At 39.3% G+C, this 13085-nt stretch overlaps 1 protein-coding gene across 72 annotated transcripts in view; it reads right to left on the reverse strand.

Moving 5' to 3' along the window:
• Positions 1 to 13085, reverse strand: part of ASPH (aspartate beta-hydroxylase) — a 214037-nt gene that overhangs the window by 51883 nt on the left and 149069 nt on the right. For 71 of the 72 annotated variants that reach the window (NM_001413901.1, NM_001413909.1, NM_001413895.1 and 68 more), the window contains 3 exons: positions 10306 to 10442; positions 3486 to 3584; positions 593 to 682 (listed from right to left, as the gene is read on the reverse strand). The exons of the other annotated variant lie outside the window; for it this stretch is intronic. In NM_001413901.1, coding sequence (NP_001400830.1) covers positions 593 to 682; positions 3486 to 3584; positions 10306 to 10442 — 326 coding nt within the window. The remainder of the gene's footprint in view (positions 1 to 592; positions 683 to 3485; positions 3585 to 10305; positions 10443 to 13085) is intronic. 72 annotated transcript variants of the gene reach the window in all.

Consider the following 13085-nt stretch of genomic DNA (forward strand, 5'->3'; position numbering starts at 1 on the left):
TCCCTATCATTACTATCACCACAATGTTCGTCTTAAACTTGGTATTAAATATTTCAGAGGATAAGTTACACAACTAACCATTAGGATCTGTGTGATTAGGAATCAGCTGATAAAGACTTCATTCTAAAAAGAACTACTTTTAAAAGTCCAAAATAAAACAAAAATGAATCTAGTCAAACTGTTAAAATATTTCTAAAAATTTAAATTATTTCAGTGACATCTCTTCATTTCAAAATTTAAAAAATACTTTTCCAAGGCAATTTCTATCTCTCTGTACACACACAGACACACACACACAGATACACACAGACAAAAACATACACAGACATGTACCAACTTAGAGATTGCTTTTGTGATTACTTAGCTGATTTCTTGAAAGAAACTATAAAAGCCAAATCCCAAAAATTCTTTAAAGGGTTAAGCTGGAGTTGTTGGGTTGTTCCAAAGATAGTTTAAGTAACTAAATAGTTTATATCACTGCTTTCGAAAGTTCACACTCAAAATATTTTTTGAATTCTAACTTTCCTAGAAATAATTATTCTCCCAACTCCATCCTCTGTTAGAGAGAATCAGAAATTCATATACCCATTACCTCTTTGTTCCCAACCCTCTGCATGGCATCCCCCAGGTGGAAATAAAATCTCCCATCATCAGTGCCAGGATCTCCGGATTCTATTCCTTCCTGTAGAAAGGACAGTGTTAGTATGGGTAAAATAATTAAATACCAGATTCCATTAATTGATTTACATAGCTTTTCTTATGGCACATCGTATGAAAACCTAAAAACCAGAAAAATATATCTCCATATTAAACTTTGGGAATGAGGTTACTGGTCAACATTTGCAATGCCAAAACAAAAGGAGGTCATAAAGCTAAATTTAACAATGCATTCATCATTAATTCACTGTGGAATGGCCCACAAAATTAGTATGATACTTTGTGTACCTTCTGTGTGGGAACAATCATATTTCAATATTTTGAAGAATTTCTCTGGCTGGATAGCTCTTACATTTATTTTGCTCTCCAAATCTGACCATATGTCATCTAGAGGCTTTTTATTCCTAAACCAAAATGTTTAACTGCTCATGTTTGAAGTGATGGCAGTCCAACTGCGAGCATTATTTCTTTCCATTCAAAACAAATGTGTCCTTACCTTTTAATGATTTTTTTTTTTTTTACAAAACATACAGGAGAATTAAAGCCAATTTGAATCTTTAAAAATGTAATTTTTATTAAACAAATCCCTATTCTAAAACATTTACCTAATTCTCTGATTTCTCACACAAGGACTGAAATTGAGATTGATGAACCCCATTCCCGTCCCCACAAAGAGAAAAGAGAAAATATTAAAGCAACAGAATGCGTTTAGAAAAGCAGAAGGACAAAAGTTAAAAATATGTAAATGTCAAGGACTTCTTTCTAAAAATCTGCATCCTTGAGGCCTCTTCACAAGAAGCCTATTATCTTTCACTAGGAAGAAATTGTATTTACATAATGTTGGAAATGAGCAAGCTGCACGATAGAATGGGAAAGGCATCATCACTCAGGAGAGGAAGGGAGCTGTGGCGAGGGCTTCTAATTGACCAACACTCAAGTGTCCTTGCTTGATAACTGACCAGGCCAGCTCTTGCTTTCCCTATCTCTGAAGCAGGCAGAGTACCAGTAAGCCATCCTATGTCAAAGGAAATGTAAGGAGACACTTTAAATCACAGAAACCCACATGCCCACAGGGCCCTGGCAGGAAATATGAAGTGCTTGACAGGGGTCCAGGGACAGCCCCATCCCAAGGGGGGATCACTGCTTGTCTGTGTGCAGGGAAGTGAGCCAGATATGACGTTTCAAGAGAAACTAGAAGTCTGCATAATTATATAAAAATGCTCAGATTCTCAAATAAGGCAAGCAATTAAAATGGTTTTTAATAGAACCATGCCAGCCAAATAAAACATGCAAGCTATTTGCAATCAGTGGGTTACTATTTGGGATCTCTGATTTAAGTCATGTGAAAGAAAGAGATCATAAAAGTGGAATATATTGATACTTAAAAAAAAAGCCTACAGCTATCTAATTAGCTATGTCCAATATGGTAGCTGCTAGCCACACATTACTGCTAAATTAAAATAAAATGAAAAATTCACTTCCTCAGTCCCAGTGGCCACATTTCAGGTGCTCAATGGCCACATGTGGCCAGTGGCCATCATATTGGAGAACACAGATAAAAAACATTTCCATCACAGTAGAAAATTCTTTTTTTTTAGAGACTGGGTCTTGCTCTGTTTTTTTTGTTTGTTTGTTTTTTTAATATTATACACATTTTTTAGAGACAGGGTCTCAGTCTGTCGCTCACGCTGGAGGGCAGTAATGCATTCACAGCTCAATGCAGCCTCGACCTCCTGGGCCTGAGTAGCTGGGACCACAGGCATGTGCCACCACATCTGGTTGATTTTTAGAATTTTCTGTAGAGATGGGAATCTCACTAGGTTGCCTAGGCTGGTCTCAAACTCTTATCCTCAAGTGATTCTCCCACCTTGGTCTCCAAAAGTGTTGGGCTTACAGGTGGGAGCCACTGCACCTGGCCCACAGCAGAAAATTCTACTGGGAAGCCCTGGTCTACACCACCTGTGATTCTGCTGAATTGATGAGGATTTAATTAGATATGAGAAAAAAGGCATATTTTAATTTGAATATTTTGAGCAATGACCTTTTCAGCCAGTATTTGTTACCTAACTTTGTGTGGGTAGTTAAGAGTACTATTCTGAGTACAGTAAATATATAATTAACTTGTAAAAGGAACATATAATGCATTGTCTATATTTAATACATATGTGTATATATATATTTTATTTATTTATTTATTAATTTTTTGAGACACAGTTTCACTCTGTTGCCCAGGCTGGTGTGCAACTTCTCCAGGGTTCTCCTGGGTTCTCCAGACTTCTCCAACGTCTCCTGGGTTCAAGTGATTCTCATGCTTCAGCCTCCCAAGTAGCTGGGATTACAGGTGCACACCACCACACCAGGCTCATTTTTGTATTTTTAGTAGAGACAGGGATTCACCATGTTGGCCAGGCTGGTCTCGAACTCCTGACCTCAGGTGACCACCCACCTTGGCCACCCAAAGTGCTGGGATTACAGGCATGAGCCACCACACCCGGCCTATTGTCTTTATTTAAAAATATTTAAAGTATCACTAATTTTGTCTGCCTTTGCCATTTATTTAAAAACTAATAACAACTTCAGTTTTATAAATTTTAAAATAAAATATTTTCCAAATCATCTCTGCTCAAGTGGTTGGTATCCTGACATCTGACACTTTTGGTTACAGTGGAGGCCCACGCTGCTTATGAATGTCATGGTCTGAGGGTGGACATCCTGAGGATGAAAATACTCAGCAGTGCATGCAATCAATCTACAAGGAATAAGCAAGTGTGTCCCAATAACTCGAAGGACTTGAAAGATGAAAGGAGAGGAGAAGCAGTGAGCATTACCTTTAAATATGGGATGCTCTCAGCAATTTTGTTCTGTGCCTTCAGGATGAAGCCATAATGGACTTTAGCAAAGCCATCATTAGGTGTCACACTCAGCACCTAAACTCAAAGAAAACACAGAACATAACTCAAAGAAAACATAGGTGATTGCTTAGAAAATTCTACAGATGACTGTCAAAACCAGTTTTAATTAGCTTTGTTGTACTTGGATTGGATTATGATGTTACAGCTGAAAACACCATAGTACTTTGTCTCATGGCAATATCATTAAGCTTAAATGGCTCCATTTCCTCTCAACTCAATATGCTTTGCACATTTACACAATGGTTCTTCAAGAATGAAGAAATGAATGAAAAGGCAATAACCGTTAAAGCATCACTTTAACAATGCAAATCAGCAAAATATCTCTCAATTGATATGACTTCAATATTTTTTAGTGATCAAGGGAAAATGGCTTTAAATTTGCTATACTTGAAGACAATTCTGAATGGTTATTAGACATCACTTCATATACAAGCTTTATACATTGCCTTAATTAAGAGAAAATTTAGATTTGCATTTGTAATACATCACAATCCATTCATTCAACAGAAAACTTCTTGAGTGCCCAGACCATTTTAAGCCCTGAAGATAAAGTGGTGAGCAAATCCAATATTCTGTGATAAAACCCAGGTAAATATTTCATATAAATCACATCACTGTTTATTATTATATGCATTCATTATGATTTAAAGATAAATTATGCAAAGTGCCTCTAAATTAAATATTAATAGTGAGAAACCAGAACAACAACATTCAACTTGAAAAGCTACTTAGACAAACTAATTTATGGAACAAAAGAGAAGGATGGAGAAGGTTTGAGTCGGTGCATGTGCATGTAGGGAAAGATGCATCTCCCATCTCTTCTCTCCATCCTTGAGACTGAGTAGAAAAAGGGAAGTCACAGCCACAGTAGGACTACAATGGGGTTACACAGAAGGATCAAGTGTACACGCAGGGGACACCAGGCCCTCGGGGGGCCCACACAACACACACTGCAGATGCTGTAGCATTTTCAGCTTGCATCTTGTCCTGAACCTCATCGATTAGCAAATCTGGCCAACACTACCTTCAAAATATATTCAGAAACATACCATGTGTCACTTCCTTCACCACTGCTACCCTGACCCAAGAGAGGTGTCTCATCATCTCTCTATATCTTCTTACAGGAGCCTCCTCACTGCAGATCCTCTGCACACATGGCCCTGACCCTGTGTAGTCCACTCTCCGCTTGCTAAATCCTAGGTCAGATCTCAACCCTCCTCTGCTGCATTGCACTCAGAGTGAGTGCAAGATAGGGTTCCTGGAACCACCCCCAAGGCCTCCCTTGGCTGGGCCTCTCCATTGCTCTGGCCTCCTCTCCTGCCCCTGCCCCTCCCAGCCAAGCCTCTGAGGCATGTTGGACTTCTTGCTGCTCCACAGCAAGCCAAAGATACCCCTGCCTCAGGGTCTTTGCATTCACAGTATCCCTCTGGCTCAGACTCTTCCGCCAGACATCCCCACAGCAAGCTCCCTTACCTCCGTGAAGCCTACCCCTGACCATTACCCGCATTACTAAAACTGAACCCCCTCCATCCCTAGTCACTCTCCAACTTCTTTACCTTGTCTCACTTTTCTTCATAGCACTTATCACCGTCTGACCTAGTATACTTTTATTTCTCCCACTAAGATGCAAGCTCTACAGGGATTTTGTCTGTTTTGCTCATTGCTCATCCCCACTGCCTGTTATGCATAGCATAGCATTCAGGTGCCCGAGAAACCTGTACTAAATGCTCAGATGAGTACATGCTGGGCTTTCCTCCCTAACTAGACCTCTGAAAGCCCAGATCCTGCTTCTCTGCAGTTTCCACAGTACTGTTCCCAAGCTAGACATTGAGCAGGAGCTCAATAAATACCTCTGGCATTGAACTAAATTGACACAGATGATGATTCTGCCAGCATAACCATGGAGGGATTATCATAATTATTACAGCTACACAGATGACATTTCTGCCTACTGCAGGCACACAGCCATTATCTCAAGTAATTAACAAATTTATTGATTTACTAGACATCTTAGAACACACAGAACTCTTCCAGGCCCTGGGCATAGAAAGATAAATGAGATATACTCTCTTTTCTCAGGGGGCTCTCACTCAAGTGAGGGAGACAGATTTAGAAGTAGACAAATTTAGAAGTAGACAATGCAAGATGGTAAATGTAGCTATAGATAGGCACGAAGCATGCAGGGGTTATATAAGAGGGGCACCTGGCTCACTCTAGGATGAGTGTGGGTGGGGCCAAGCTCTGAAAGGTATTTAGGGATAAATAGGAGTTCACCAGGAAAAGGAAGTGTGGGATGATGGAGGAAAAGGCATTCAAGGTATATTAGAAAGTGAGTAGAAAGGGATAGTGGGCCAGGAAAAGCAAAAGAGAATGTTGTTAAATTATGAACAAAAGGTGATAGCAGAAGAGACTGGAGAAAAGGCAGAAGTCAAATTAAATCACAAAGGGTCCTGTTTAGTATCAAGTACAAGGTAATCTCCTGGGGAGTAGAAAAAAATTACATACACTTCTACTTGTATCTGTCTCTCAAATAGTGTGAAACAAGCTCTGTGGCTCTACTGTGATCTGCACGGTGGACAGCCATGTGTCCCATTCAGGAAAAACACTGTCAGGAGGCGAGGTTCAGGGCTCAGGCCCCAGGGCAGCTGACAGTGCTGCCCTCCCTGCTTGCTTCTTTGTGCGTGGGTACCATGCTCACTGCAGTTTATATGCGAATGTGTAATGGACATGCAGGTTGTATTATCTAGTTGTAATCAACAAACCCTCAGAAAATGACAAGTGGTTTTATGAGATTTCTAAAAAACCCAGATTGAGGCTACAGTTGCCCTTTGAACAACATTGGTTTGAAATGCATGGATTATCTTCCGCCTCTGCTGCCCCTGAGACAAGACCAACTCCCCCTCATCCTCCTCCTCTTCCTCGGCCTAGTTAAGGTGAAAACAGTGAGGATGCAAACTTTAATCATCCACTTCCTCTTAATGAATAGCAAATATATTTTCTCTTCCTTATGGCTTTTACAGTTTCTTTTTCTAATTTTTTAATTTTTGTAGGTACATAGTAGGTGTATGTATTTATGGGGTACATGAGATATTTTGATACAGGCATACTATGCATACTAATTACATCATGGAAGATGGGGTATCCAGCCCCTCAGACATTTATCCTTTGTGTTACAAATAATCCAATTATATGCTTTTTAAAATAACATGTTCTTTTCTCTAGCTTACTTCATTATAAGAATATAACATATAGTACATATACAAAATATGCGTTAATCGACTGTTTATGCTACCCGGTGGCTTCTGGTCAACAGCAGACTATCAGTAGTTAAGTTTTTGGGGAGTCAAAATGTGCACATGGATTTTCAACTGCCCAGGAGGTTAGCATCCCTAACCCCTGTGTTGTTCAAGGGCCAAATGTAATATTAGACAGATTGTCTCTCTCTTTCTCTCTCTCTATAAAACACACACATCCATACACAAACACAAAGCACAGACAAAAACAACCACAACCTCATACAGCCGACATTTCTATCCCCAGTACAAACTCTTTGCGTGATACATTCCTGGGATTTTAAAAAGTTATATAATCATAAAATCATAAATATTAATTTTTCAGCAAGAGTTAAAAGATTTTCTGGCAGTTAAATAGAATTTTATATTTGACATCATCTTAAAAATTGTTTTGGGGTATGTACCTTTTGTAATGCACATGTATATTAGTGCATATATATATACATAATATTATGTGGGTACATACATGTACACATAACATATAAGTACATAAACATATCTCAGGCATTTGCTTGAACATTTTAGTCTGGAAGGGCCGCCATCAAGCATGTTTGAAGACCACTGCTGCAGGAAATGAGAACCACAGAAGATTTAAAGCCGAGGGAGATGATCAGGGTTGTGTTTTAGTGTTGGTGAGGGTTGGGGGGGGGAGCAAGCTAGGACAGGATAAACCTGTCCCTGCTCAGGCAAGAGATGACGGGTGCTTTGGTTACAAAGGGAAGGGATTTGAAAGTTAATCAGAAGTTAAAATGAACACAAATTCGTGATTTGGTACCAGATTATAAACTTCATGTGGGCACATTCTGCGTGTGTTTCATGAACTACTGTTTCTCTAGCTAGTGTGTATGGGTTTTAATAGATGTGTGTTGGCTGAGTGAATGGGTATACGTGAGCAGTGGCGGGTGAGTCAGGAGTGGCATGAAACTCCCCACTGTAACACCTGGGCAGCTGCTAATGTTGCCAACTTGCAAGAGAATCCCAGGAGGGGCCGCAAAAAGCCACAGACTGGAGCAAATGATGTCACACCATTTTAAAGCCAGTTTCTTTGTTGCAACTAAAAGCAGCAAAAAGCTGGAAAAATAAAAATATCAATGATTTTTATAAATGTACTCAAAAGTAAAAATTAACATGAAGAAAAATATAAAATTACAATGTCTGTTTTCTAAAAATGATCTTTAACATAAACATATCAAGAAAAACCTTGGTTAATGAAAGAGACTCCATTAGATAATAGCTTATTAACTTAAAAGTGAGAGGACCGGAAAAAAGGCGACCCCCACACATATTTTCAGTCTATTCATGCTTTAAAAAAAAAACTCATTCAATTGAATAATATCCTTATATTTTAGACTTTCTGCATCCTATTATGCATATTCAGATGAGATTATGATATAAAATGTATAAACAACAGGTAAATTTTATTTTTCGGGATGAAGTAAAATGTTTCACATATCTGAGATTTAGCGTCAGGTAAAGGGATGAATATCCTGAAGGGAGGTTTTAAAAAGGTGAGGAAGGACAAATCCACAGTGTATTAGAGAAACCAGTATGCTGTCAGATCCTGCCCTAACCTCAAACGTGCTTGCACCCAGTCAACACTTCAGAATGTTTTTTAGATGGAAAGAAAGAAGGAGGAAAGGGTGCAGGAAGGTAGGAAGCGAGAGAGGGAGGGGTAGAGGGACAGAAGAAAGAAAATAGGGAAGAATTCTACAAGGAAGGAAGGGAATGAGGAGTAAGGGAAGGAAGGGAAGAAGGAAGGAACGAAGGAAGGGAGAGAGGGAGGGAGGGAGGGAGGGAGAGAGGGAGGGAGGGAGGGAGGGAGGGAGGGAGGGAGGGAGGAAGGAAGTTAGGAATTCTACAAGTTCCATTTTTGTGGCCTCTGACAGTGACAAACTAATGGATATGTTTGTTATAGCTTCACAATTCTTACATTCACAGACCCTGATTCACTGAGGTATATGATGCTTCTCTTAACCATACTCTGTAAGACAGGGCATTGAGTGTTATGTGTTGGCCATTAACAAATGCAATGTTCCACATGGAATTAATTTATGACCTGGAATAGGTCTTTAGTAAATGGCACACATTGTCAACATTAAAGGTTCAATCCACCCTGTGTAGCTATTAGTGATGTTATAAAAGCAAAGGTCTTATTTCTGTTCTCTCAGAAAATATAAAAATTATGAGAAAGGTAAAAAGACAACTGCTTCACAATTCAATGATTTTCATTACACAATAATAGCAATACACAGAGGAAAGTACCGCTTTGAGGATAGACCCAGTCCCTACCAGAGTATGAAACTGCTGTTCTTGATGGCATTTAAAAAATACTGTAAAAGGAGTAGGGTGAGATGACTTGTGCCTGTAATCCCAGCTATTTGGGAGGCCTGAGGCAGGAGGGTCACTTGTGGCCAGGAATTTGAATCCAGCCTGGATATCATAGGAAGACCTCACCATCACTAAAGAATTTTTTAAAATTTAGCTGGGCATGGTGGCATGTGCCTGTAGTCCCAGCTACTTAAGAGGCTGAAGCAGGAGGATTGCTTGAGTCCGGGACATGGATGTTGAGGTGAGCTATATCATGTCATTACACTCCAGTCTGGGCAACAGAGTGAGACCACGTGTCAAAAACAAAAACAAAAGCAAAACAAAACTGTAGCAGAAATCATACTATCACTGAGTGGTAGCATATTGATGTAGACTTCACCAGCTTGAAAACCATTGATCAAAGGGCCTAAATTAAAGAATAACAAGTAAACATGTTCATCTTTCTTTTACAGAGGCGCTAACTTTCTCCATCTTCAAAATTCATTGGGCATCCTGTTCATTCTGTACCAAATGAATTCCTCCACTGCCTAAAGAAGTCACATTTCTCTAGATTTTCTAGTTACTTGTGACTTAGAGGTTATCTATCAACATCTGTTATAAAGTAGAAATCCTTTGAAAGGTATCCTTGCCAGAGGATTTGAAGAGTCAGTGCCCTGCTGAAAAGTAATTTATGTCACATGCTTGAAAGGCCCCTGTTCTATATAGCCTCTCTCTAGACCATACTTCTGCCAAAAAAAAAAAAAAAAAAAGGAAAGTGTGTCTGTGTGTGTGTGTGTGTGTGTGTGTGTGTAACATTCACAGGAACTTAAATTCTTCTTCCTGTCATGAAGAACAATTTTAGAAAGACTATGTATGGAAAGATAAATATGAAGTTTTAAAAGAATCACAATTATAAGTTGAAGGCTTTAATGTACTAAGTGTTAACTAAGATTTAAAAATCTTCTGATCTAGGAAGAAAAGCAATGTTAAAACATAGTTTAGAATATGTTAACTATAATAATACTTACATGCTTTTTAACTTAATTTAAAATAAAGAGAGACTGGGTATAATAAATGTAATTTGCAAATAGCCTTAGAACTTAATTTGACGTAGTTAATACAAGATTGATGCTTACCTCTTCATAAACTTTCTTTGCATTGTCATTATCTCCTATCAAGAGGTATCCCACGCCAAGGTCATTTTTTAAGGAAGTATCATTGGGAAATAGTTGAACTAATCTCTGCAGGGTAAGCAGGGAACCTCTCATATGACCTGAGTAGGTGGGAATTTAAAAAAAATAGAAATAAAAACAGATTATGTACACTTTTGTATTGAGAATGTAAGTCATGAGAGACTATTCACCAGAGCCTGAGAACCAGCTCAAATCTGGCTTTATTAGTGGTTTACTAAGTACCTAGTAGGATTTCATAATGTAGTTGCAATGGTATTAATAACTGCCATAAGTAGATACTGAATATGGTATTGATTATAAACATCTAAAGACATTCTCATTTTTTACATTCAGCAATGTTTACCATTTTATGTTAAATTCCTTCTCAAGAAAAACTTAGTTAACAATTCCTCGTTAAAAAAAAAAGTTCTGCTGAAATCTTTTTGGTTTATTAACTTTATGAATAGGGGATAAGCAATAAAAAGTCTTAACTAACTTCAGGGTCTAGCACCCTGTATGCAATTCGAAAAGGCACCAAAGTACATAGGACAGTACCTAACTGCTGACACATCCCCTATGAATGACAAGTGTACTCATCTCTAGGTAATGACCTAGTCATGGAGCAAATGATACATCATCCAGTATTATGGGGCCCTCTCGTGGACAAAGGCATACTTTGCACGCATGAATCATGAAAAAACCCAGCTTCAATTATCTGTATAAAAGAACATGTGCAAAAAGAGGACTAGCATCAACGAAAAAAGCCATGAATTATCTAAAGGGCTTAGTTGCCCACAATCTAGGAGAGTGATGGGAGTGTCAGTACGCTAAAGCAGCTGTATATTCCACTGCCAAACCATCTGCCATAAAGCATCACCAACTCATCCGACGGCCTATGCCCCATTACCAGCCAATCATATTCCAACCAGAACCCTAGTCATTTCCTCACTAACAAATCTGGGCTTCCTTTTCTATACCTTTCCTTCCCCCTATCTGCCCACCTAGGCTCACACTTTCTTCTAGAAATCTCCTATTATCCACAACAAAAGCATGGACACAAACTCCTCCTTGCAGCCATCTGCTCCCCATCCCTTCCACTCTGCATCTGGGAACCCTGTTGTGTTGTGACCAACTTCACCACCATGTCATTTTCACTAAAATCTTCTGTCTCCATTTGCCTCAGAGCCTCCTCGAGTGAACTTGCTTTATTCTCAAGGACATTCTGAGAGGACTACATTCAAATGCTGATGGATTGCTGTGGAAGAGGCAGTCACCTTCCCAGGGCCGAGGACAGGGTGAGGCCAGAGAGGCACTCAGAGTTAGATTTCAGAGGATGCCAAAAAAGTTCATAATTTTGATGTGAAGGCTAGTTTAATGCATCCTTTTAAAAAATCAATATTAATGTAAAACATTCATGATGAAGAAAATGTTAACACTTTAGTGACAGAATCACTAAACAGTGCTAAGCAGAGCCATAGTGGAGACTGAGGCAAGAGGAAAACTCAGTAATGCTGATTCTTTTTTTTTTTTTTTTTTTGAGATGGAGTCTTGCTCTGTCGCCCAGGCTGGAGTGCAGTGGCATGATCTCGGCTCACTGCAATCTCTGCCTTCCGGGTTCAAGTGATTCTCCTGCCTCAGCCTCTTGAGTAGCTGGGATTACAGGTGCCCGCCACTATGCCCGGCTAATTTTTGTATTTTCAGTAGAGACCAGGTTTCACCATGTTGGCCAGGCAGGTCTGGAACTCCTGACCTCAGGTGATCTGCCCATCTTGGCTTCCCAAAGTGCTGGGATTACAGGCGTGAGCCACTGCGTCCGGGCAGTAATGCTGATTCTGCGTCCATGGCGAGTGCCCGCATTGCCTCTCTGGAGTCCCGGCCCTGCCTTTTCTGTGCTGAATTTGTGCTGCATGTTTTTGTTCTGCTGCACTGGTCCCTATGAATATTAGTCTAACTGACCATTTCTTATCATTTTTAATCATCACATGGACTTTAGTCCTATTTTATTTATCTACAAAAGTGATACAACTCCTCTTCATTCTAATCCTCGGAAAACTGATAGGAGGGTCCATTGGGCCTTGACTCTAATCTATAGGAGCCTCCCCTAAGTGACATTAATAATCTGTCCATGTAACTATCTTGCCAGCCGAGCACCTGCCTTGGCAGTGACTCATAGCTTAGCTCCTTCCCTCCATGTTGACTGATGATCTGTTATGGGAAGAGAATTGTAAGCCTGGTTATCGTGAAGTTAGCTAACAGCTAGTCTTACTTGCCTTTGGTACTGGGAACCTGGGTCAGTCCAGAGGATGGTATATGATGTTCTATATTATGTATGCTACTTTTAGCATCTAGCTGGTATCATTTTTCCTCAAATGATAGTCTTTAGATTGTAGCCTCCTAAATCTGATGATATATGATATGATGTTCTTTTCAAAGTATTTGCAAATTTACTTCATGTTTTTTTTTCTAGCATTTTCCTTGATATAGGGTCAAATCTTACCAGTAAATTTTTTTTAGAGTACCAGAAACAGCTATTATTCATTTATACAAAATTTCCACAGATAATTTCAACCTCCATGAATCATTTTGCTATAGTTAAGGAAGAAAAGAATTTGGTATCACAGGAAGAGTTTTTTATTCCAGACCTATTAATCTATTAGCTATGATTCCTTAGGCAAATTATACAAGCTATCATAAAATGGGAAGAAAGAGGGAGAAGAGAGCTAGCAGAGATTTGTTCATGAAAT

This window comes from Homo sapiens, chromosome 8 (assembly GCF_000001405.40).
Source record: "Homo sapiens chromosome 8, GRCh38.p14 Primary Assembly".
Taxonomy (NCBI): Eukaryota; Metazoa; Chordata; class Mammalia; order Primates; family Hominidae; genus Homo; species Homo sapiens.